At 48.0% G+C, this 25,290-nt stretch overlaps 1 protein-coding gene across 3 annotated transcripts in view, besides 4 other annotated features; it reads right to left on the reverse strand.

Annotated features, from left to right (window-relative positions):
- ADCY9 (adenylate cyclase 9) overlaps positions 1–25,290 on the reverse strand; it is a 163,056-nt gene that overhangs the window by 45,566 nt on the left and 92,200 nt on the right. For all 3 annotated transcript variants that reach the window (XM_011522353.3, NM_001116.4, XM_005255079.4), the window contains exon 3: positions 8,416–8,606. In XM_011522353.3, the coding sequence (XP_011520655.1) occupies positions 8,416–8,606 (191 nt within the window). The remainder of the gene's footprint in view (positions 1–8,415; positions 8,607–25,290) is intronic.
- Positions 1,776–2,070: a silencer, noted in NCBI's record as "tiled region #15077; HepG2 Repressive non-DNase unmatched - State 23:Low, and K562 Repressive non-DNase unmatched - State 9:DNaseU". NCBI's record gives its function as "represses a minimal TATA promoter and a strong SV40 promoter by Sharpr-MPRA in HepG2 and K562 cells {active_cell/tissue: HepG2 | K562}" and the evidence as "EXISTENCE:reporter gene assay evidence [ECO:0000049][PMID:27701403]".
- Positions 12,146–12,791: an enhancer, noted in NCBI's record as "H3K27ac-H3K4me1 hESC enhancer chr16:4061099-4061744 (GRCh37/hg19 assembly coordinates)". NCBI's record gives its function as "activates a minimal SCP1, AML or CMV promoter by ChIP-STARR-seq in naive H9 embryonic stem cells {active_cell/tissue: H9 hESC(naive)}" and the evidence as "EXISTENCE:reporter gene assay evidence [ECO:0000049][PMID:30033119]".
- Positions 12,792–13,436: an enhancer, noted in NCBI's record as "H3K27ac-H3K4me1 hESC enhancer chr16:4061745-4062389 (GRCh37/hg19 assembly coordinates)". NCBI's record gives its function as "activates a minimal SCP1, AML or CMV promoter by ChIP-STARR-seq in naive H9 embryonic stem cells {active_cell/tissue: H9 hESC(naive)}" and the evidence as "EXISTENCE:reporter gene assay evidence [ECO:0000049][PMID:30033119]".
- Positions 16,336–16,630: a silencer, noted in NCBI's record as "tiled region #11986; K562 Repressive DNase matched - State 4:PromP". NCBI's record gives its function as "represses a minimal TATA promoter and a strong SV40 promoter by Sharpr-MPRA in K562 cells {active_cell/tissue: K562}" and the evidence as "EXISTENCE:reporter gene assay evidence [ECO:0000049][PMID:27701403]".

Consider the following 25,290-nt stretch of genomic DNA (forward strand, 5'->3'; position numbering starts at 1 on the left):
CCCATGGCAATTTTCCTTGAGCGATTCATTAGCTTAATTTTAATCTGGATTAAGACATTTCACAACATGTTTTTTGCCAAGTACAGATGCCTCTGTGAAATGTTTCCCAGCCGGCTAAACAGCGTCTCCCCCTGCACAGCTGCAGGCATCTCCACCCCTGCTGAGAAGCCCTCCCTGGGAAGAGTATTTCTGACTCCAGGAAGCTGCAGGCATGGAAGCACCTCACTGCCTTGGGAGACAACCCTAGCAGCTGGCTCACAGGGAGCCACACGGGCAGGCACATTAGAGAAAAAGCAGTGTCATAATGACAGTAGCTACTATGACTTAGGAATGTCTATGGGCCAAGATCCTACCCGTGAACAAGTCGGGCCCCCATCCACGCAATATCTGCAGTCTCGACTGTATGATCTCGTCCTTTGCAGCCACACTGTGAGGCAGCAATGATCATTCCGCAGACGGCCACAGACTCCAGGGCCCTGGGACCCGGACCACCGTCATATGGCTCTGGCCCCCTTTCCTGGCACAAGGAGGACCCAGGAATAATCCTGGCACCTTGCTCTCCTGGGCCTTGTTTCCCTAGAGTGACCTGAGCAGCTATGCCTGTCCTCCTGGTTCTTCCAAGCAGCACCCTGGGCCCTCCGGCATCAAGGGAAGTCTCAAGACTTCTAAGGTCCTCCCAGCAGCACGCCTGGCGGGCCAGGGAGTTTGCTGGCTGTTGCCTGGGTAACCTGAGATTCCCTGGAGAACGCCCAAGAGCAAACTCTGCATTTTTCCGGATTATCTTTGCTCCTTCCCCCATGTGGACGTGGGCTTTGGAGGGAAGAGTGTAGCCATTTCTCTAACACACTTGGGCACATTTGCATTTGTTTTTAACACATTTCAGGACGTGCACCCTACATTCCGGTCAAAATATATGGCACAAAGCTATAAAATCGTTTTTTCTTCAAGGTTATTTCTCATCACAAGATAAATCATTTCTAAGCCAACAGCTGTCCCTTTTCAAAACTGTCAAGGGAGGGAGTGGGGAAACCTCTTTTCTCAGAAATGAGGAGGATACACCAGTAGAAGAGCCCTGGCTTTGCCTGCTTCGTCTTCTCAACACGACTGTTTTGCAAGATGTCGTGTTATCAGAAGCATCCTTTGCTCCCAAACTCAAAATGATGTTAACATGGTGAGCAGGAATAGTCATGATATTGCAACCACAATAACCACAAACACAATTTCCTGAGGTGTTCTTTGAAACTCCTTGTATCTGCTTAACCCTCGTAAGCAACCACGATGCAGGTACTATGATCGGTTCCATTTTACAGATGAGGACACTGAGACAGAGCAAGCACTGGCCCAGAGCCACACGGTACGGTCGGAACCGCGTAAAGAGGCGGTGAGCCCAGGCAGCAGAGCTCCTGGCCCCAACGATCTCCAGGTGAACGGGGCAGCCTGTCAGTGCGGCAGAGCCATGGGGCTAACTCTATGTCCCTGGCATTGCTGTTTAAGCTAACAGGTTAGGTACGGGCATAAGTACAAAATAGAGTATTTCTGCTAATGCAACATTAGAGAAAAATAGAAGCAGAATATTAGAAGAAAAGATAAGCAGTAATTATCACAGAAAAAGAAATTTTCTTACATCCCCAAAGCAGTAAGAACAGACAGCAGATGGCCTGAGAATACTAGACAAGTCACCACATGAACACACACGTGTAAAACTCACACACACAATCTCAGAGCCACACGGGGCGGAGTCGAAAAGTCCCTGGACCTCTCACTCAATCCCTTAGCCCTAAAGGACCACTGGGCTCAATAACCAGGCTGGTGATGGCGATCCGAGTCAAGAATAGATGAAAATATACTCAGCAGACTGTCAGGCAGGAAGACTGTTACCAGCTGTGGAAACAGTCCATCATGAAGTCAAGATAAGAAAATATTTGGCATCTGGGGAAATTTCATGGAAATGCAATATTTCACTCTCTGGCAATGCCAGTTCAATGATTCCGCACATACATTTCCATCCCTCTCTCTACACACACACACACACACACACACACACACACACACACACATATATAATTTCTTACTTTGAAATAATTTTAGACTTGCAGAGAGTGGGAAAGACAGTTCAAGGACTCTGCATATATCCTCCGTACATACTCACCGTACAGTTATCAAAACCAAAGCAACTCATGCTGGCGCGATACCGTTAACTAAGCTGCTGGCTTTATTCTGATGTCCCCAGTTTCCGCACCGTCCCTTTGCTGTTCGGGTCTCCTCTAGGTCCCGTGTTGCATTTAGCCCTCATGCCCCCTGCTCACCCCCAGCCTATGGGGGTTCCTCTGTCTTTCTCTGTCTCTTCTGGCCCTGCTGCGTTTGAAGTCCCGGCCAGGCATTTTGTCAAATGTCCAGATCTGGACCTGCCTGGTGCTTTCTCAGAGCAGACTGAGGTTTGGGGTTTGCGGAAAGAATGCCGCAGAGGTGACATGCCCTTCTCAGCACACCACACTAGGGTACCGGATGGCAGTGAGCAGGGAGGCTCACCTGGATCATTTGGTGAAGGTGGCATCTGCCCGGTTTGTCCACTGTGAAGTTCCTATTCCTACCCCGCCCCCCACCTTTCTTTTTTGAGATGGGGTCTCATTCTAGTGCCCAGGCTAGAGTGCAATGGTGCAATCTTGGCTCACTGCAGCCTCTGCCTCCCAGACTCAAGCGATCCTCCCACCTCAGCCTCCCAGGTAGCTGGGACTACAGGTGGATACCAACATGCCTGGCTAACTTTTATAGTTTTTGTAGAGATGGTTTTTTTTTTTTATTGTTTTTTTTTTTTGAGATGGAATCTCACTCTGTTGCCCAGGCTAGAGGGCAGTGACATGATCTCAGCTCACTGCAACCTCCGCCTCCAGGTTCAAGAGATTCTCCTGCCTCAGTCTCCCAAGTAGCTGGGACTACAGGCACCAGCCACCACACCCGGCTAATTTTTAAATTTTTAGTAGACATGGGGTTTCACCATGTTGGCCAGGCTGGTCTCGAACTCTTGACCTCAGGTGATCCATCTGCCTTGGCCTCCCAAAGTGCTGGGATTACAGGTGTGACCACCTCACCTGGCGGAGACTACCCTTTAGTTTTACAACAGCTTTCTTAAGATGTCATTTGCAAAGCATATAATGCACCCATTTAAAGTATATAACTCCAGGGTTTATAGCATATTCACAGGGATGTGCAAGCATCACCACTATCAATTCAGACTACCACTTATAATAAATACCTATTTAATTTCTAAGCTATATATATTTATATATGTATGTGTCTATAAAATATGAAATCATTTTTTCAATTTCTATAACGAATGAAAAGCCCCTTACTTCCTCAAATTGGGCCAACTGAGCCTACTCATAATGACTTGACACATAGAAAACAAGTAGATAAAAGAAGTTATCATTTAGGGTCATTTTCAAAATTCACTGTCACAAAAGGATGGTTCCTGAGGTGAGTGGCCTTAAAGGGGAAGGAGAAACCTTTTGAAAGCAGGACAGGTCCTCTCTGAATCATCCCCGTATGGGTAAATCTACATCACTAGCTTCATTACTGACTGGTCCATGTAGAAACACCCAGTGGCCAAGCAGCCCGGGGTTCTGAATAATAGATGAAGGTAAACTCAGGAAGACCAGCCACGCAGGTGCGCTCCAGGGAGGCCTTTCAGAGATGTACTAAGATGCTTTCACAGCTCAAATGGTTCCCTGATCAGAAGTAATGTGATACAAGTAATTCAATTTTGGGTTTTCTTTTCTTTTCGAGATGGAGTCTCACTCTATTGCCCAGTCTGAAGTGCAGTGGCGTGGTCTCAGCTCACTGCAACCTTCACCTACTAGGTTCAAGGGATCCTCCTGCCTCAGCCTCCTGAGTGGCTTAGGACTACAGGCATATGCCACCACACCTGGCTAATTTTTGTATTTTTAGTAGAGATGGGGTTTCACCATGTTGGCCAGGCTGGCCTTGAACTCCTGACCGCAGGTGATCTCTCTGCCTCGGCCTCCCAAAGTGTTGGGATTACAGGCATGAGCCACTGAGCCCAGTTGGGTTTTCTTTTTCTTCATGAAGATGTTGGAAAAGCTGTTTTTATTGATATATGGCATCTAGATCCACTCATCACCCACAGGGTTCATGAGAAAATGGAAAGCAAATGCCTGCTGGAGCGCTGACGTCACATTCAACAGGCCAAGGCACACATGCTCCCGTGTCATACAAGTGACTTGGTTACGGCCGAGAGCATCCAACCCACAGCAATGCTCAGCCGCAATCACTGTGAGAATCTCCCTCGAATCGGAACCGTGGAGAAGATGGGACCTTCCCCAGAGAGTCAGTGACTTCCTGCAGGCAAGCTGGGACCGTCTCTCGGCCCCTCCCAGTCCTCCATGGCTCCGTCTGTGGTCACTGTCCCTGCTCTGCGTGGAGTGAAGGCGTGCGTGCCGAGTGTGAGCGAGGCTTCTTCTCAGCCCTGGCGTCCACAGGCACCATTCCGGCTCATCTCCCAGCAATCCCGAGAGGTCTCTTCCTTATCACCACCGCACTGAAGAGGAAAACTCTCACTTAGAGGAATTAAGTGTGTGTTTGCTCTTTCTTTTCTTTTTTTTTTTTTTTTTTTGAGACAGTGTCTCATTCTGTCACCCTGGTTGGAGTGCAGTGGCATCATCACAGCTCACTGCAGCCTCTAACTCCTGGGCTCAAGCGATCTTCCTGCCTCAGCTGTCTGAGTGGCTAGGACTACAGGCATGAGCCACTGCACCTGGCTGCAGTTTCTTCACAGTCGCAAAGCCAAGGCTTGAGAAGGGTCTTGCTTCAAGTTGCGCCCCTGCCCGCCGTGGTCCGCCTCCCCTCCGCGACGCTGACAGTGGCGTCCTCATGTCTAATGCTTACTCCTTGGTTTCCTTCTTGACCTCTCCTTCCTTCACTCGGGCAGTATCTGTCCCCCACATTATGCAATGTCAGGGCCCTTAGGATGAGGACCTCTCACTGCTGGTCATTTCAAGAACCCAAGGCCAGGCACAGTGGCTCATGACTGTAATCCCAGCATTTTAAGAGGCCAAGGCAGGAGGATGGTATAACCCCAGGAGTTGGCAACCATCCTGGGCAATATAGCAAAAAAAAAAAAATTTAAAAATTAGCTAGGCATAGTGGCACATGCCTGTGGTCCTAGCTACTCAGCAGGTTGACTTGGGAGGATCACTTGAGCCTGAGAGTTTCGAGCTGCAGTGAGCTAAGATCATACCACTGGTACTCTAGCCTGGGCAACAGAGCGAGATCCCATCTCTTTAAAAAAAAAAAAAAAAAAAAAAGAAGCCAACACTTGGGTGTAGAAAGGGTTCCCTTTGAGCTATGACTTCAGGACCAAAGCCCTGGCCTTTGACATCACTATCATTTCCTGGTAGGTCGTTACAGTACACAGGTTATGTTACATTAGATAAGAATTTTCCAGCTATGACCTAGGAGATGACTTAAGGTCACAGAGGACACACATGCTAAGGGCAGGAAATAAACCCTTCGTGGGCGCTGCCCTGGTTCTACACAGTTCTGCTCGGGCTTCTGACTTCAGTCCTTCGCCTGGCTCTGCAGAGCTGCATCGCTCCATGTGTTTAATTAAAGAATTAAAAAGCCAAAAAGAAACTGTTAATTACTACATGCCAGGCACCATGCTCGACACTTGGGAAATATTTAAGTTATTTAACACTCAGTCTCTGAATGCAAAGAGCTCCCAGGAAGACGCATAAGAAACAAAGATTTAAGATCGTGTATGTTACAGCCAAGTGGGACAGACTGAAGGGACTGAGAATTTGGAGACGAGGGAACAGCGTTATCAGCTGCGGAGGCACGGGAAGGCGTGGTGGAGCTGAACGGTGAATGCAGACAGGAGTTCAGGGGAAAGAGAAGCCATGAGTATCTCAAGTGAGCAGCAGCAGGAACAGGACACACGTGAAAATCTACGCATGCTCCTTCAGGGAACGTTTCCTGAACACCTTTTCTCTAATGTATTGGTCCTTGGCATGAAACTCCTTTTACTACATGAGCATTCCCCCAAAAGGTGTGACCACATTAGCCCTGCAAGGTGCAGCTTGAAAAAAAACAATTGTGCTCAAAGAGGCCTGAGAATGCTGTATATACCGCGTCCTCCTCTGAAGGCCTAGCTACTGTCTACTAGCCTAGTGAAGGCTCCGAGAAGTCCTGCAGTAAAGAAACCCTTTCTGTGTTGAATATCCCAAGCTTCCCGAATTTACTTTACCACTGAGCACCCTCCTCCCTTTTTTTGGAGACAGGACAAGGTCTCACTCTGTGGCCTAAGCTGGAGTGCAGTGGCAAAATCATAGCTCATGCAGCCTAAATTCCTGGGCTCAAGTGATCCTCTTGGCTCAGCCTCCCAAGTAGCTGGGACCGCAGGCACAGGCCACCAAGCCCAGTTAATTTTTAAAATTTTTTTGTAGAGATGATGTCTTGCTACGATGACCAGGCTGGTCTGGAAATCCTAGCCTCAGGCATCCCTCCCACCTCGGCCGCCCACAGCACCAGGATTACAGGCGTGAGCCACCATGCCCGGCCTTCTGTCAACTTGATAGATCACAAGATTCTCAGAAACTTTCAACAATATTTGGAAAATCTCCACATGCCAAGAAGATACGCTAAATGGTTTTTGCTCATTCCGACCAAAACAAATATATATGACTAGAGTGCAATGTAGTGTAGAATCGCCATTGCTAAAACCGTGGTCACTAAACCCGTGAGCATGTGATATGGTGAACTCTGCGACCGCATCCCCTAACGGACAGAAACACACATATGTGGAAGCTAAAATGGCAAACACAACGAATTATATATTTTTGGCTCGGGGCTGTCTTTCACGACTTAAATACAGCTCAGTTTGCAGGCTGGAGGAAACAATTCTTCCCCAAATAGCAAAACCATTCCCGATTCCACCCCACGCCAGCCCCTCCCTGCCCGGGTCCGCTGTCTAGGAGCCCAGAGCTCCATTTTCTGACTCCTGCACAACGTCAGCCCAGGCAAGGCGGCTGTCTCTAAAGTTTGCAGGCATCCAGGGAATCTCAGATACATGAGCTTTACACATGTGCCAAGAGTACAGGGAAGAGAGGGTCCAACACCACTGTCCCGGTGGTTTTCACCCAGGGGTGACTCTGCACCCCCAGGGGACACTGGGCCATGTCTGGAGACATTTTTGGTTGGCACAGCTGGGGAGTAGGGTACGGGTGGGTATGCTGCCATCTGGCAGGTGGCGGCTAGGGATGCTGCCAGCCATCTGACAGTGCACAGGACAGCCCCACAACACATGACTACCTGGTCCAAAATGCCAGCGGTGCCAAGGTGAGAAGCCCTGCATTACACTAACAAAGCACCCAACGACCGCGATCCACGAGCGGAGTTGACAGAACCCGAGTGCAATCATTACGTGTAACTGGGCGACAGGCACTATGTATTCTGACCCAGTAAGTAATCTGCATACCCCAGCTGACTGCCACATAATGAAGACTGTTCCTCGTAAATACCAATAGCGGCTTTCAAACCTGTGAATGAATGTGGAGAGGCAGGGACGTATTGGGTGAAGCTGTAACCACTGGCCGCCATCCTCACACATACCCCACTGTGTTATCTGAGAACACAAAGCAGCATAGGAGAGCTGTTTTGATTCTCTGTCTCATTTTAAGAATGGAGACAGTAGATGTTTAAACTATAAAAATAAACAGAAGGTACCAGTGGGGAAACTAAATCAAATGTGAAAGCAAAGGAACAGCTCATAAACTGAAATGATTTCACACACCCAAGGTCGACCGCGCCAATTCCCTGGTAGTTTATGATGACAGGTCAGTCCAGAAACGGGCACTTCTAGGCAGCTACCAGGAGATCCCGGTTCCAATAATGAAATACTACAATGTTCTCGGCAGCCTGTCCTCTCAGTGAGCTGTGTCCTAGGATTCACCCACACCAACATCATTTCAAGTAATCATAAAATAGTGGATTTCAAGAGACGTAGAAGTATTTGAGAAAGTGGTCTCTGAAATCAGATTATCAACTAGCTCTCCACCCAAGGTGCCAAGGAAAGCCACCTTTACTGTCATTTATCACCAGCTTCTAGAAATCCCAAAAGGCACCACAGGTCCCAGGAAGAGAAAATAACTAATAATTCAAATGAGAAGCATCCTTGTGCAATGGAAAGGCAATGGAGGTGCGTCATATGTCAAAAAGCAAGGATGTTAAAAATGCAGAATGCTACTAACTTTAGACTAAATATTAAAATCGTGAAAACCAAATCGAAGGTCATTCCAAGTTGTTTGCCTCAGACCTGGAGGCTGCTTATTATTTCACGTGCTCTACTGCAGAATTAATAGAAAGTTTTAGAAGTAGGAAAAAAAAAACAAAAAAACTAACCTTAAGGTTATCAAAGGTTTTGACAGTCTGCGCCAAGTCACTGACATTCCCTGATGACGCTGTCCCCTGTCCCCTAGGGCCTGAGGACACCTGTGAGCCGTCAATGACCTCAAAGCCAGAAAGCAAGGCCTCTGCACAGCTGCAGCGAGACTCCTTGGCTCTCTGACCCGATATCAGGTATGTCTTCAAACCTATGATGGATAAAAGTTACAGTCAGCACAGATTGAAAGCACCGTCTGTTGAAACGCAGCTCCGTCTTGCTCTCTGGAGAGGACTCACTCCTGGAAAGTTGAGAGTAAAGTGAAAATGTGAATAGGTCATAGTTTACGACGGACGTCCACGATCTCTCCAGAGAGATGCGGCCTCAGGGAGACCGTGGGCCCCCGAGACACACCACTCACCCACGTTACGTTTTCTTGGAGTAATGGCTGCATGTTTCATGTTTTACCTTCAGGGTTAAAATAAGCATTAAAAAGTTCCTCCATGAAAGGGTCCCAGGACCTCCCCGTGAAGGCAGCAAAGCAGATTGGTTGACCCTAGACACTGCTTTGGTTTATTTCCATCTGTGAATACCAGTCCAGTGAGTACCTTCCTAACGGTCAGTCTAGACGTCATGGCAGCTTCCGGTACTGACCATCTTACCTGTGTCAGAGGCTGCAAAACTACCCCGAAAAACAAGACCCTACCAGGGACCAAGAGGCCATTAAAACCTCCCCAGACTCAGAGCTGTTGAGCATCTATTTCCTGTTGGATTCAAACACTCACCCCAGGAACATTCAGCTTTTGTTAAGCTGAGGTCCACATGCATTTTATTGTCTCACAAAATCCCGCATATAGAAAAAAAAAAAAAAGGTGGTCAAAAGGACACTTGACCTGTATCTTTACAATTCTCCTTTGAGGCTGAGCTAACAGCCGGACCCACACTGCGCTGGAAGGAGCTGTGAACAGGTGGGTGGATCCTGCCCCGGGAATCTGCTGGGAAGATGGCAAAGGAGCAGCTTTTCTAGAAAGAGCCCAAGGAATTTTTGAAAAAGAAGCAAACTTTATTTAAAGAAATCCATCCTTTGACTTCACTGGAATTTAACCAGATGGCAAATGTATCGGAAGGAGGGACAATGTAATTTAACATTTAAATAACATTTATTTCAGGCCTAGTGTATGCCACACACCGAGAATAAAATCATGAACAAAGCAGGGTCCCTTCTTTTTTTTTTTTTTAATTGAGATGGAGTCTCACTCTCTCACCCAGGATGGAGTGCAATGGTGCGATCTCAGCTCACTGCAGCCTCCACCTCCTGGGTTCAAGCAATTCTCCTGACTCAGCCTGTGAGCAGGCAGGTGTCCACCACCACGCCTGGCTAATTTTTGTATTTTTAGTAGAGACAGGGTTTCTCCATGTCGGCCAGACTGGCCTAGAACTCCTAGTGATCTGCCCACCTTGGCCTCCCAAAGATGACAGGTGTGAGCCACTGCACCCGGTCGCAGGGACCCTTCTTGAAGGGTTTAAGCTCCAGCTTCAGGTCGTGAAGGGTGTGGCATGGAAAGATGCCATCGAGAGGCGACGTGTCTACAACACTGATCGACTCTGGCTTCTTACGCTGGGTACATATTTGGTCAGCGCTTTAAAATTAATTAATCAGAAACCTAGGGACTACTTCATCAATAATCCCGAATCATTTTATAAGTATGGCCCCATCTCATCACTTCACCTCCCTCTCTCCTTGTAAAAATACTACGTGGCTAATCTTTTTAAGTCAACTGTTCTGAGAATTTGCCAAGAGTCCTAGAAACACGTAAAGACAGCCTAGAACGTAGCCAGGTCATAGCTGAGAATCAAAAGACTTAGATATTTTTAGATGCCAACTGGCCCCAAGAAACTCTTCATGTTTTGTTTTGTTTTGTTTTGTTTTGTTTTTCCTTTAGAGATAGGGTCTTGCTCTGTTGCCCAGGCTGGAGCGCAGTGGTGCAACCATGGCTCCCTACAGCCCCCACCTCCTATAGCCTCAGCCTCCTGAGTAGCTGGGACTACAAACGTCCGCCACTATGTCCAACTATTTCTTTCTTTCTTTTTTGAGATGGGGGTCTCACTGTGTTGGCCAGGCTGGTCTCGAACTCCTAGACTCAAGTGATCCGCCCATCTTGGCCTCCCAAAGTGCTGGGATTGCAGGTGTGAGCCACCACACCTGGTCCAATGAAAATCTTTCACTCTTACTTAGCTCCTGAACTTTTGTGCATTTTTTTCTCCAACAAAAACCCACATCCCAATTTATGCACAGGATCAATCACGACTGTAACATGTATACACTGAAATGGAAACGTGAACTGGAATACGACGCAGGAGTGAAGCCATCTTTATACTAATTTCTCGGACCTGTCCCAGGCGACACCAGACTGACTTTGTAACTTCACTTTGCCAGAGTTAAAAAATGCAACCTATGTGGACTCAAGAGAGGACAATGAGCTGCCAGGGCTTATACCCGCCTTCATCAAAGAAGTACACGCAAGGAGGCCTGTCCTGGGGCTGCTCTAAGGGTCTCCTTCCCATGACTCCTGAGTGTGGCCCACAAGTCACCAGGTGGCAGGGTGGTGACAGGAGCCACTGACAGCCAGTGTGACTGTGGATGGCCACTCTGGAGACCGCAGTCCCCACATACTGAGAGAGGAGGGACATTTTTTTGATGGGAGGTAGGAAAAGTTGCGGCTGAAGGATGAGGTTTTCCATTATGTCTGTGGCTGGCCCTGCAAGGTGCTGTTGGCTCAGGGTGCCCCTGCCTGAGGCTACGGCTCCCCATGCACAAGGGCTGCCCTGGGAGCATGAACTGGGCTGCCTCTGAAACCCAGGAAGGGGCCCTCACCCAGGTGACTGCGCACCTGCTCCCTGTGTGGCTCCGGGACTGCAAGAGAAAGTCAAGATGGCCTCTCCTAGAAGTGCGTGGCAACTGAAGCTGAGAGAGGCTGAGCAGGGAGGCCTGAAGAGCTGGAGCACGACGGGACAGCCAGCACATTCACAGCGCTCAGCACGGCAGTCCACGGGGAGCACGGAGTGGCAGCGGCGGCCTCTGCTCACAAGCTGGGCACGTGCCTCAAGCACATCTCCAACGTCTGCTGTTGCTTTTTTGTACTGGGATTACTGAGTCACTCTTAATTCATCAAACATTTATTAAGCACTTCCTGTTTACTACACACTGATGGGTGCAGGGACGATGTGTGACTATTTTGGCCGAGATCGTGACCTGTGTGGAGCCCATTACCTGAAGAGGGGCCAAGAGGACAAGCAGGTATGACTATGGTCAGGCGTGCCAAGTCCCAGGACAAGGAAGGACGGGTGCTCCAGGAAGCACAGGAGGGGGCATCTTGAGAAGCCTCAGGAAGGAAGGGGCTGTGGCTCGAACGTGTCCCCTCCAAAGTTCAGGCGTTGTGGAGTGAGAGTCTTAAGGAAGCAGGGCTTTAAGAGGTGACGAGGCCAGGAGGGCTCCTCCCCTGCGATGGGATCAGGCGCCTGCATAAAGGGGCTTGCTGTAAGGGGCTCTCTCGCTTGCCCTCCAGTTTCCTTCTCCCTTCCAGAAGATGCAGCCCTCCCCAGACACCTGAACCTGCTGGTGCCTTGATCTTGGACTTCCCAGCCTCCTGAAGCATGAGGACAGAAATTTCCGTGCTGTATAGATTACCCAGCCTATGCTGTTCTGTTATTGCTTCACAAGCAGATGGAGACGGACGGATCAGCACCCTCCACACGGAGAACTGAAAGACGGGGCGAGGTCAGCCCGGCAATAGCAAACCAGGCCAGGGGCGGGGGTGGCTGACACCAGGCAGGGGGGTTACTAGAACAGGTCATGAAAGGCCCTCTACAGAGGTGGCCTGCAGCAGGCATAGCTAAAGGATGGCTTGGAGCTCAGTGTGGCTGGAGCAGAGAACGTGTGGAGGGAATGGCCAGGGCTGAGCCACAGCACCTGTGCAGGGCACTGTGTGGGCCATCCTGGGAAGCCTCCATTCTGGGGCCACGGGCAGCAGGGGGGCGGGAGGAGAAAGAAGAGCCACATAGGAGGCATGAGGCGTAGGACAAGCCAGGGAGCCGGTGGAAATGCCAGCCACAGCGGGTGGGAAGTTGGGAGGCACGGGAGTCAGGAAATAACAGTGGAAACGGGAAACCTACTCCCCACAAACTGCTGGCGAGAGGCAAGGCTCCCATTACAAGCAACCAAGCGTGATGGGCGAGGGCCTGGCTGCTGGAGGGGGCCTCGGAGTCGGGTCCAGGTCCGCCCCCTAATCCCGTGATCTAAGTGAGCTGCTTCATCTCTGCCTCTCAGTTTCCTCATCTCTAAGGGGAGGGCAGGAGCAGAGCTAGTGAGCTGCTTCATCGCTGCCTCTCAGTTTCCTCATCTCTAAGGGGAGGACAGGAGCAGGGCTAGTGAGCTGTTTCATCGCTGCCTCTCAGTTTCCTCATCTCTAAGGGGAGGACAGGAGCAGGGCTAGTGAGCTGCTTCATCGCTGCCTCTCAGTTTCCTCATCTCTAAGGCGAGGGCAGGAGGAGGGCTTACCACACAGCTCGCATGTGAGGCTTAAATGATCAACACGCACGCAGCAAGCACTCGACATTAGCTGTGATTATCGACGCAGTGTTTGATCTGCGTATCACTGGAATCTTTTTCATGCACCTTCTACATACAAAAGCATTTGCAAAACTGTTAAATCAATAATTGCTCCTGATTTGTTTCTGACTTGAGTTTTTCTTTAGGAAGCGCTGAATGACCAACCCATAGTGATAACATGATCCTACTAGCTTTACGAAGGTCAAACACACCTCCGTGTCCACAACGAGCAAAATCGGGAAGTAAATTATCTTTTTATTTATGCTTCAATATGGAAAGCTAAATTTAAAGTGAAACCTTTTGTCAGAACCAGAAGGGTTATCACCCTGACAGGTAAGGCAGAGCCCAGCTGCCTAATCACAAACGCCTGAGAAATACATCAGGACAGGTTACTGAGTTCAAGCCCAGCGAAAGTCTTAAGTCAGGAGACTCTGCAGGCGACATGATTTAATGAATAACCACACACATGGACCCTGGGGTCCAAGTTCATTAGAATGGCTCTTTTGCAGCAGAAGGTCCAAAAAAAAAAAAAAGACAGCTAAATGATTTAAGTGTAGTGTAAACAGGAGAATAATTAATATGATTTCTTATATTCTTTCCTGGTTATCCATTGATTTTAAACCTCAACAACAGCGATGTCTTTTATCAGCTTAATTTTACAAAGGCTACAGAGAGGGGTGGGCATTTCCTAATGGGCTCCTGTCTGACGGGGGAATTTGTCTATGGCTGTGTGCGTGGAGGTTAACGCAGTTAACGTTCTTAAGTATTCTTAAGTATAGTGTCACTTCTTTGAAAACTAAAACTGCACTTTGCACATAGTGGTGATCAGGTTTGGTGACCCAAGTATAGGAAGAGTGACTGACAAAGCCCATTTTGGAAAAGAGTGATGGGCGAGGCCCATTTCTGGCCTCATTTGTCCCAGTCTCTTTCTGTGGGATTCTTGCCTTGGACTGAGATACCCTCAGCCACCAAGAATCAAGGACCTGACTGCCAACTCAACAGAAAGAGAACAACAGCGAGGCACGGGGATCACAGCTGTGACCCCGGCACTCTCGGAGGCCGCGGCAGGAGGATCACTTGAGCCCAGGAGTTTGAGACCAGCCTGGACAACATAGCGAGATCCCATCTCTATAAAAAATTTAAAAATCAGCTGGGTGTGGTGGCACCTGTGGTCCCAGCTACCCAGGAGGCTAAGATGGGAGGATCACTTGAGCCCGGGAGGTTGAGGCTGCAGTGAGCTGTGAGTGCGCCGTTGCACTCCAGCCTGGGCAAGAGAGTGAGACCCTGTCTCAAAAAAAAAAAGAAAAAGAAAAACAAGCCAGGCGTGGCGGCACACGCCTGTAAATCCCAGCTACTTGGGAGGCTGAGGCAGGAGAATCGCTTAAACTTGAGAGGCGGAGGTTGCAGTGAGCTGAGATCGTGCCATTGCACTTCAGCCTGGGCAACAAGAGTGAAACTCCGTCTCAAAAAAGAAAAAAAAATTAAAAGAAAAAGAAGAAAAGAAAAACAAGAAAGAGAAGAATAATCAGGAAGGAAAGAATGTTTTAAGACATGACTTTGGGAGCCAGCCACATAGCATAACAAATGCCTAGAAGCTTACGTCACTTATGACTTAAAACAATAAACAGAAAAGAGGCAATCAGCTTGGGCTGGTTCAGAAACATTCCAAAAACGTCTTTCACTTTGCATTGCATTCTTCCTCACGACTAGGTCGGAAACGACCAAGCGGCATGAGAGTTATTTAAACTAAACTGTAATCAGCCAATAAGAAAAATAAAGATAAAAATACTCTTAATCTACCAAATAGCCAAAGCCTATGGAGTCATAGATATATTTTATAATTATCTATTCTTTCTGCGTAAGAAGAACAAAAGTTTTGGTACAAAAGAGAGAATATCTTTCATATGTTAACATTAAAATGCTCTCCGGAGGGTTGTAAGTCCTTCCTACTCATATGCACCATAAATAATCATAAGAACTGATTTGTTCTTGTTGTCCCAATATTTGATGATAAATCTCAAGTTCCTACTACAAATGGCTGCTGGTGAAACTTAACCTCTTCTTAACAAATGAAGTCCCAGGTCAGGCGCGGTAGCTCACTCCTGTAATCCCAGCACTTAGGGAGGCCGAGACGGGAGCATCAGTTGTGCTCAGGAGTTTGAGACCAGCCTGGCCAACATGGCGAAATCCCGTCTCTACTAAAAATACAAAAATTAACTGGGCGTGGTGGCACATGCCTGTAATCCCAGCTACTCAGGAGGTTGAGGCAGGAGAATTGCTTGAACCCAGGAGGCGGAGGTTGCAGTCAGCCGAGATCGCACCATTGCACTCCAGCCTGGGTGACAGAGTGAGACTTTGTCTCAAAAAAGAAAAAAAAAAAAAAAGAAGTCCCAAATAATAAAATATGAGATGGATTTATGGAAGAAAGTGAAAGAAACAAAGGGTAGGCACCTTGCCTGTTTAATTTGATCTTCTGCTTAACCAAAAAAAAATTTTTTTGTTTTTTTTTGAGACAGAGTCTTGCTCTGTTGCCCAGGCTGGAGCGTAGTGGCGCGATCTCAGCTCACTGCAACCTCCGCCTCCCGGGTTCAAGGAATACTCCTGCCTCAGCCTCCTGAGTAGCTGGAATTACAGGTGTGTGCCACCATGCCTGGCTAATTTTTGTGTTTTTAGCAGAGAGGGGGTTTTGCCATGCTGGACAGGCTGGTCTCGAACTCCTGACCTCAAATGATCCGCCTGCCTCTGTCTCCCAAAGTGCTGGGATTAAAGGCGTGAGCCACCACACCCAGCCAGAAAATAAAATTTTAGAGCATGTGCACGCATTCTCTCTCTCTCTCCCTCCCGCTTCCCCACCCCTGCTTCTAAACAGGTACCTTCTATACCCAGCTTCCCTCTCTCTCCCAGTAATGGCTAAACAGCTGCCATCACAGCCAAATGGGAATGACAGGCATCCCCTGAGTGACCACATTCCCCTGTTTTGGCCTTTTTTTTTTTTTTTTTTTTGAGACAGAGTCTCGCTGTGTGGCCCAGGCTGGAGTACAGTGGCTCCCTCAGCTCACTGCAAGCTCTGCCTCCCGGGTTCACGCCATTCTCCTGCCTCAGCCTCCCGAGCAGCTGGGACTACAGGCACCCACCACTATGCCTGGCTAATTTTTTTTGTATTTTTAGTAGAGATGGGGTTTCACCGTGTTAGCCAGGATGGTCTCGATCTCCTGACCTCATGATCCGCCCACCTCAGCCTCCCAAAGTGCTGGGATTACAGGCGTGAGCGACCGTGCCTGGCTTGGCTTCTTATCTTCTGTATTCCGAGTTAATAAATGCCCCACTGCTAAATGCTACATTCCAGAATGCTAACATAGGGAGAGTCCAGGAGTCCACACACTTCAGAGACCTTCGCCTCCCACCTCTAAGAAACCTCTTGAATTAGGGTTTACTAGCACGAGCCTTCACAAAGACTGTAGAAATGAGTCTCTGAGAGACGACACCCAGCACACCCAGCACACCCAGCACACCAGCGAACAGCCCACCAGGTGCTATCGCTGTCATTCATTTGCTCATTCGCTCGTTCATGCACCCAGCAGACTAAATGTTTACTGAGTACTTACCGAAGGTTAGGATCTGGGCTAAGGGTTGAAAGAAATAAATAGGTTAAAAAAGAAAAAAAGCCACCTAGGTGACTTTCACTCCAATGCTTGACCTCAGTTCCCTTGTCTAGATAATGGAAATGCTGGCCGGCGCGGTGACTCACGCCTATAATCCCAGGACTTTGAGAGGCCGAGGTGGGCAGATCACTTGAGGTCGGGAGTTCAAGACCAGCTTGGCCAACATGGCAAAACCCTGTCTCTACTAAAACTACAAAAATTAGCCAGCTGTGGTGGCAGGTGCCTGTAAGTCCCAGCTACTCGGGAGGCTAAGGCAGGAAAATCTCTCGAACCCGGGAGGCAGAGGTTGCAGATAGCCGAGATCACGCCACTGCACTCTAGCCTGGGTGACAGAATGAGACCCTGTCTCAAAAAAATAAAAGAAAAAGAAAACGAAAATGCTGTGATATGATGGTCATATCATAGCACAGGGCTGTTGTGAGGATTAAATGAGTTGATTCAGGTAAACAGGGACATCCGAAAAAGGGAAAGACGGTGCTTGTCCTGAGAACAGCTGTGAATGTGAGGACAGTCAGTGAGTGACGATCTGGACCCACAAGAAGAGAGTCATATGCATTCAAGTCCAAGTGTCTATGGGCTGTTCAGAAGCAACAAATGGCACTTCAACAATGAGTTGCAGACAACAAAATGGAAATGAAGGTCTGCAATAACTATTAAGAATCCTGTAACAGAGCAGAGTTTAAATAATGGGAAGAGGCTATGAAACAAGAGAGCTGGGGAAAGATACCAGAACTGAAACAGACCACCAGCTGATCACCTTTTATTTGTGAAATGACAGCACCAAATGCACCAGATGCCACAGACGGGAGGGAGGGGGATAGGTCACGTCGGCAGAGGGAGGGGGTCAGGTCACACCTGCAGCAGGGACGGGGGTCCCAGACCGTGTTCTTGTCCCTAGAGAGCTAACAGCTCATCCGTAGGTTTCTAAGAGGTGCTGATTCAAGCACACAGTGTAGATGATGAAAAATAGATTATAGAAAGAAGAGAAAGGAAAAACTAAATTTAAAATCTGAGACTAGGTAGCCACTAAATACTTGAAAACAAAAAAAGGGAATACACTGAAAATGGAAATAAAGCTGTATGATGTTTAGTTAAAGAAGCCAGTCCCAAAAGGCCACGAACTAGGTGATCCCCTTTATATGAAATGTCTGGCATAGGGAGATCTGTAGACACAGAAAGCAGATGAGTGGCTGCCATGGGTTTAGGAGAGAGAGGGTGTAACTGCTAACGGATGCAGGGTTACTTTTTGGGGTGACGAAAATGTAAAATTAGGTTGTGGTGATGGTTGCACAACACCATGAATATACTAAAAACCACCAAATCATACACTTGAGAGGGTGAATTGCATCATATGTGAATTATACGTCAATAAAGCTGTTTTTTTGAAAAAGAAAAGGAAGCTGGGTGTGGTGGTGCATTTCTGTGATCTCAGCTACTTGGGAGGCTGAGGCAGGAGGACTGCTTGAGCCCAGGAAATGAAGGCTGCAGTGAGCTATGACTGTGTCACTATGCTCCAGCCTAGGTGATAGGGTGAGACCCTGTCTCAAATATAATAATAATATTAATAATACAATAAAATAAACTAAATACAGTAATGTGAACATCAACAAGGTGCAATAATTCTGAGATTTAGAGAAGAAATAAAATAAAGCTGGGAAGAAATACACCCTCCCTGAGAATACAAGGTAGAGTGAGCAGTAGCAGGTAAATGAAAAATATTAAAGGCTTAGAAATAGATAATGTGGGCCAGGCATGGTGGCTCACACCTGTAATCCCAGCACTTTGGGAGGCCGAGGCGGGGGGTTGCTTGAGGTCAGGAGTTCAAGACCAGCCTGACCAACATGGTAAAACCCTGTCTCTACTGAAAATACGAAAATTAGCCAGGCGTGGTGATGCACGCCTGTAATCCCAGCTACTTGGGAGGCTGAGGCAGGAGGATCACTTGAACCCAGGAGGCAGAGGTTGCAGTGAGCCAAGATCGCACCATTGCACTCCAGCCTGGGCAGCAGAGTGAAACTCCTTCTCAAAAAAAAAAAAAAAAAGATAATGTGGTAGAGCTAGGGCAGAAAAACATGCAAGTCAAGAATAAGGCCAAATAACCTTGAAGAACTAAAAATTCAACATAGCAAAAGTTCAGAAGTCTGGGAGAGATTAAATAAAACAAAACAAAAGAAAATTTGACCTTCATGAAATAGCTCCAAGAATCATCCAATTTGCAGCTCTCACTATTGTAGTCCAACCTAAAAACGCCGGGCCGACACCCACATTGTCTTCTTCGAGCACAAACACACTTCTCCTGCAGCAGGTGTAGCCCGCACAGCATGGTGAGCCCAGCCACACCCGCACGCCAGACGCTTGGCCACAGAAACGCAGAAGCGGCCACTGTCCTTGCCTGGAACACAGATGGGCCTTTTCATCCAGGAGGAGATTTACTTGCAAAGGCATTTTCTTCTGACCCACAGGTGGTTATACCTGCACTGACACCTCCTGTGGGCATCTTCAGCTGGAAGAAAGGCCACCGAGGCTGCGGAGCCACCTCGCCTGTAAACATCATATCATGCAAAGGAAAAGCTCTAAGTTGCGGAATATTCTTCTCTTTTTTTTTTTTTTTTTGAGATGGAGTCTCGCTCTGTTGCCCAGGCAGGAGTGCAGTGGCATGATCTCGGCTCACTGCAACCTCTGCCTCCCGGGTTCAAGCAATTCTCTTCCACAGCCTCCTGAGTAGCTGGGATTACAGGCACCTGCCACCATGCCCGGCTAATTTTTGTGTTTTTAGTACAGTTGGGGTTTCACCATGTTGGCCAGGCTGGTCTTGAACTCCTGACCTCAAGTGATCCACCCGCCTCGGCCTCCCAAAGTGCTGGAATTACAGGCGTGAGCCACCGCGCCCGGCTGATGCTGAACATGCGTGACTAACCTTCCGCGGGAGCAGTCATGCCGCTGCCTTCACCACCTGTTGCTTCTGGGAAATGTGGATCCAGGCTGCTGGCTCTCTCCCAGATCGTATCTGCAGCACAGGCACATGCTTGCTGTGAATTTCCACACTTGTCAGATCACCCGGTTTTCAACTTGTTTTCTAGTTTTCTCTCTTTTGAAGAGTATTTTGCACACTGGCTGGGGCAGAGGCTGACAGTTTCCCAGACTGTGTTTTCTTGTTTACAGAGCACATGCAGACTTGTTCGAGTCATCTAACGGAGAAACCCAAAAACCTCCATTTTCTCCTGAGATATCTCTGCTATCTCTAATTTCACTTCAGCAGCACTGGTGGCTGAAATACTATGGACTATGTATTTCGGACTTCCTTTTTCTGAACTTTTCTGGAAGAATCGCAGTTGTGTGTGTGTGTGTGTGTTTTGTTTTGTTTTGTTTTTTTAAGAGAAAAGGTCTTTCTCTGTCACCCAGGCTGCAGTGCAGTGGCATGATCACGGCTCACTGCAGCCTCGACGTCCTGGGCTCAAGTGATCCTCCCACCTCATCTTCCCAAGTAGCTGGGATGACAGGTGTGCACCACCAAGCCCACCTTCTTTTAAAAAAAAATTTTTTTTTAAAGATGGAATCTCACTATGTTGCCCAGGCTGGGCTTGAACTCCTGGCCTGAAGTGATCCTCCGGCCTCAGCCTGCCAAAGTGCTGGAATTACAGGCATGAACCACCATGCCCAGACTCAGGTATTTATTAATAACCTCAAGGTGTTGCTGCACATTCCATAAGTTGAGAGCAGGTCCACTCTGCCACCCAGGGATGTCCCAGGCTGGGCGATTTGTTCTCCCACTGCACACCATGCAACTGTCATTTATGCCTTAAGAAAATCCCATTGAAGTTGTGGACTCAATGCACAATCAAAACTGAAAGCAAAACCGAGGCAGTGAGTAGTGAGTGCCCAAGCACGAGAGGAGGGGACAAAGGCTGGGTCCCCGGCCATCAACAAACGGAGAGCTAGCTCATAAAACAGTGACCTGGAGCTTCAGTCAGCAGCCCTCACTCCCAAAAGGGGTGAGGAGTCTTCAGAAACTCCCCTGTCTTATGGCAGAAAGCTGAGCTCTGCACAGACCCTGGAAAAACCACTGTTGTCAAAGGAGAGATGGAAGTGGGCAGAAAGCCCAGGAAGGAGGGTTCCAGACTAGTGGAGGTACTAGCCTCAAACAAGACAGCTGAGTACTTAGAGAAGAAGAGATACATGCCAGGCATGGTAGCTCATGCCTATAATCCCAGCACTTTGGGAGGCCAAGGTGGAAGGATCACGTGAGGTCAAGAGTTTGAGACCAGCCTGGCCAACATGGTGAAACCCTGTCTCCACTAAAAATACAAAAATTAACCGGGCGTGGTGGCGGGAGCCTGTAATCCCAGCTACTCGGGAGGCTGAGGCATAAGAATCACTTGAACCCAGTGGGTGAAGGCTGCAGTGAGCTGAGATCGCGCCACTGCACTCCAGCCTGGGCAACACAGCAGACTCCATCTCAAAAAAAGAAAAAGAAAAAGAAAAAGAACTTTCTATGAACTTCCCGTGATGATGGGTACATCCTGTAGCCGTCCAGTTCTGTGGCCTCCAGGCACATGTGGCTACTGACCACTCGAAATGTAGCTAGTATGAACAAGGAATTAATTTTTTAATGATTTCAATTATAATTTAAATTTTAAACAGCTACATGAGGCTGGCAGCTATGTAGGAAGCAGTGAAGATCCACATCCTTCCTTATTGGTGAAAGGAATGAATTGGAAACAGAAAGTTCTTTTTTACCTTTATTAAATAAACGTGAAGTCATAAGAACTACTAAAAGAAAATGGGTGGGATAAAAGTAAAACTAAATATGAAACCAGTAAGTATTCACTGTTATTTATTATAGATGACATTTAGACGCAAATACGAGAGGGAGAGTACCCTGTATATTAATAGCAGGGATAGCCAATTACAAAGTGGAATAAGCCAGGCGTGGTGGCTCACGTCTGTAATCCCAGCACTTTGAGAGGCTGAGGCGGGTGGATCACTTGAGGCCAGGAGTTCGAGACCAGCCTGGCCAACAAGGTGAAAACCCCTCTCTACTAAAAAATATACAAAAAATTAGCTGGGCTTGGTGGCACACGTCTGTAGTCCCAGCTGCTTGGGAGGCTGAGGCAGGAGAATGGCGTGAACCCAGGAGGCGGAGCTTGCAGTGAGCTAAGATCGCGCCACTGCACTCCAGCCTGGGCGACAGAGCGAGACTCCGTCTCAAAAAAAAAAAAAGAAAGTGGAATAGAAACAGTTACTCTATCGAACAAAATAGCAGATAATGTTTTAGAATAAAGAAACAAAAGAGCTGGAAACATTTGAACGTTTTCAAAAAAAACCCTATAAGTGGGATGAGATACTGGTTCACAACTCTAATTTAGAGCCTATATAAACACATTAGCTTGACCTTGCTTGACATACATTATTTCTAAAAAATGTTTTAAATGTGAATATTTAGAAGATACACCATATTTTCTGCTTTTTATATACTATAAATTTTACTATGTGAGTTTAAAAAGTGGTTGGTAAAACACACACCCAAGCTCTCTGATCTTTCACACCCATTAAAAGCAGCACATGTATTAAACACACTGCTGCACAATGGGCGTGCCATGGGTGCTCTCCAACCGCATTGGGCTTGAATGTTTAACTAGGCCTGAAGCCACAGTGCTAACAAGATCTGGCAGAGACAGACAAGGCCACGCCGGCAGCAGGTGTTTCAGGAAAGGTATTACTCCACCATCCCTTGCGCTGAAGCCTTAGCCTCAGGCAAATTCATGAACCAGGTAGAATCTAATTCAGGTCACTTTGGCCAATCTCCACTTTCTACCAGCCTCCTCCAGGTCCCTACTGCCTCGGGAGGCCCCCTACCCACCTGCCAACCTATCCCCTCACCATCTACCGGCACCAAGTCTGTGTGAGCACACTGTAGATACACGAGCTCCGTCCCAACTCAGAGCTAGGAGAGTATCAGAGGCCAAACGCCTGCCCCCTGCTTCTGGGCTCCACCAGCAGCCTGGGAGGCCACCCCCTGCAGCTGACTCATCTGCATACTGAGACTTCCTGACACAAATGGAGGTGACAATATTCGTTCCCCCATCATATCCCAGAAATTCCCTTATTGCCGACATCCATTCTGGGTTTTTACTGCGCTTCACACGAGGACAATTCCAGGCTGAAGTGGCAGGTCCCAGCACCAGACTCCACTTCATCAGAACACTTCTGTTAGAGTCTTTGAAACGCATGAAATCCCCTTTAGGGTCCATAATAACGCCTTCTGGAAACTCGACGGCAAGCCACTCACCCTCAGCCCTATCAGACCCCATGGCTCCTTACATTTCTGTGACATACTTAATTTGCAATGTCCTCTTTTCCATCATGAAATAAAATTAAATTCATGGACAACATAACCTTTAATCACTGAGACCATAAAGGACACCTCCAGCAGCTGACTAGCCTTCCCTCAGCCACCTTTGTGCCCAGCCTAAGGGCAGGGTGGCACCGGAGCCTCCATGCTTCAAAGGTGGCCACCAGGGCCCATCCCCCTTTCCATGCTTCTCCCTGCCCAGAGAGAAACAGCCTGAGGACAGGTTAAAGACTAAATACAACCAGGCATGGTGGCTCATGCTTGTAATCCCAGCAATTTGGGAGGCCGAGGTGGGAGGATCACTTGAGGTCATGAGTTTGAGACCAGCCTGGCCAACATGGTGAAACCCCATCTCTACTAAAAACACAAAAATTAGCCAGGCCTGGTGGCCCATGCTGTAATCACAGTTCCTCAGGAGGCTGAGGCATGAGAATGGCGTGAACCCGGGAAGCGGAGCTTGCAGTGAGCCGAGATTGCACCACTGCACTCCAGCCTGGGCACCAGAGCGAGACTCCGTCTCAAAAAAAAAAAAAAAAAAAAAAAAGACTAAGACTATGCCACAATTCCGCATATGCATGTATTTATTATATACATATATGTATAAGGTACATATTTGTATGTGTATATCCGTGCATATGTGTATACCTGCAGCAATTTTTTTTAAAAGGAGAAAATAGGCCAGAGCCAGTGGCTCATGCTTGTAATCCCCGCAATTTGGGAGGCTGAAGCAGAAGGATTGCTTGAACCCAGGAATTCAAAGCCTCAGTGAGCTGTGACTGCACCATTGCACTCCAGCCTGGGTATCAGAGTAAGACCCTGTCTCTAAAATATAAATTAATAAATAAAAATTAAACGGAGAAAATTTCTTAACAACTTTTATCCTATTCATTCTTTCAACACATAATAAGCTCCTGAAATCCGTTAAGAATGAGATTAGACCTATTCTAAATCCTACTAACACCTTACATTGACTCTGTCTTATTAATCTCAGTACTGTAGTACCTGGGGGAAGGCGCAGCACCGTGGACACTCAGAAACGTCAAGAATCAAATCACATCTCTACAACGGTGGTCCATCTGCAAACAGCGTGGAGATCAAGGAAGGGCAGAACAAAGTACTGAAAGTGCTGTCATTTCTCTGGAGGGTGAATTACACAGACCAACTTTCTTCACATAATAAGAAACAAGAAGTTGTTTGTTTATGGGTTCTATGGGAGCACCCGCTGCAGGCCACGCTAGACGCTGGTGATAAAACTGTGAACATGGCGTCCATCACCTGACTCAGTGGTAGGAACCAGTGGCAGGGAGAATCCACAAGCAAGGACCCGAGTCACCAGCTGTGATTAAGAGCCAGGAAGAAAGCAAAAGCTTCCTGCAATAGAGAATACCCAACATGCGGTTTGGACAGAGTCAGGGACGTCCTTTCTGAAGAAATGAGACTGAAGTGGAGATATCACAGTGAGATGGAGGCAATTGCGGTGGTGTAGGTCTGGGGAAGGCACGAGGGATGCAGGGATCAGCATGGAAAGGACGGTCCCAGCATGCTCACGTGGCTGAAAGGTGGCAACTGTTCCCGATGCAGACTGAGGGAAGAAAGTGTGGCATGAGAGGAGGCTGGGGAGGTGGGCCAGGCCCTGGGAGCCATTAAGAGGTTTCTGCCTGGCCAGGTGCAGTGATTCACACCTGTAATCCCAGCACTTTGGGAGGCCGAGGTAGGCGGATCACTTGAGGTAAGGAGTTCGAGACCATCCTGGCTAGCATGATGAAACCCCGTGTCTACTAAAAATACAAAAATTAGCCAGGCGGGGTACATGCCTGTGATCCCAGCTACTTGGGAGGCTGAGGCACGAGCATCGCTTGAACCCAGGAGGTGGAGGCTGCAGTGGGCCGAGATTACGCCACTGCACTCCAGCCTGGGGGACGGTAGGAGACTCTGTCTCAAAACGACAAGAGGCATCTGACTTACATGCTAGGCACACACAAGAGCTCTGCAGTGTTTTAAGTAAGACAGCACACAGTTCGATTCTTTCTTATTTTGCATTTTAATTTTTTAACTTTTTTTTTTTCTCTTGAGACTGAGTCTTGCTCTGTTGCCCAGGCTGGAGTGCAATGACACAATCTCGGCTCACTGCAACCTCCGCCTCCTGGGTTCGAGTGATTCTCCTGCCTCAGCCTCCTGAGTAGCTGGGATTACAGGCACCAACCACCATGCCTGGCTAATTTTTGTATTTTTAGTAGAGACGGGGTTTCACCATGTTGGTCAGGCTCGTCTC

The sequence above is a fragment of the Homo sapiens genome, chromosome 16 (assembly GCF_000001405.40).
Source record: "Homo sapiens chromosome 16, GRCh38.p14 Primary Assembly".
Classification (NCBI taxonomy): Eukaryota; Metazoa; Chordata; class Mammalia; order Primates; family Hominidae; genus Homo; species Homo sapiens.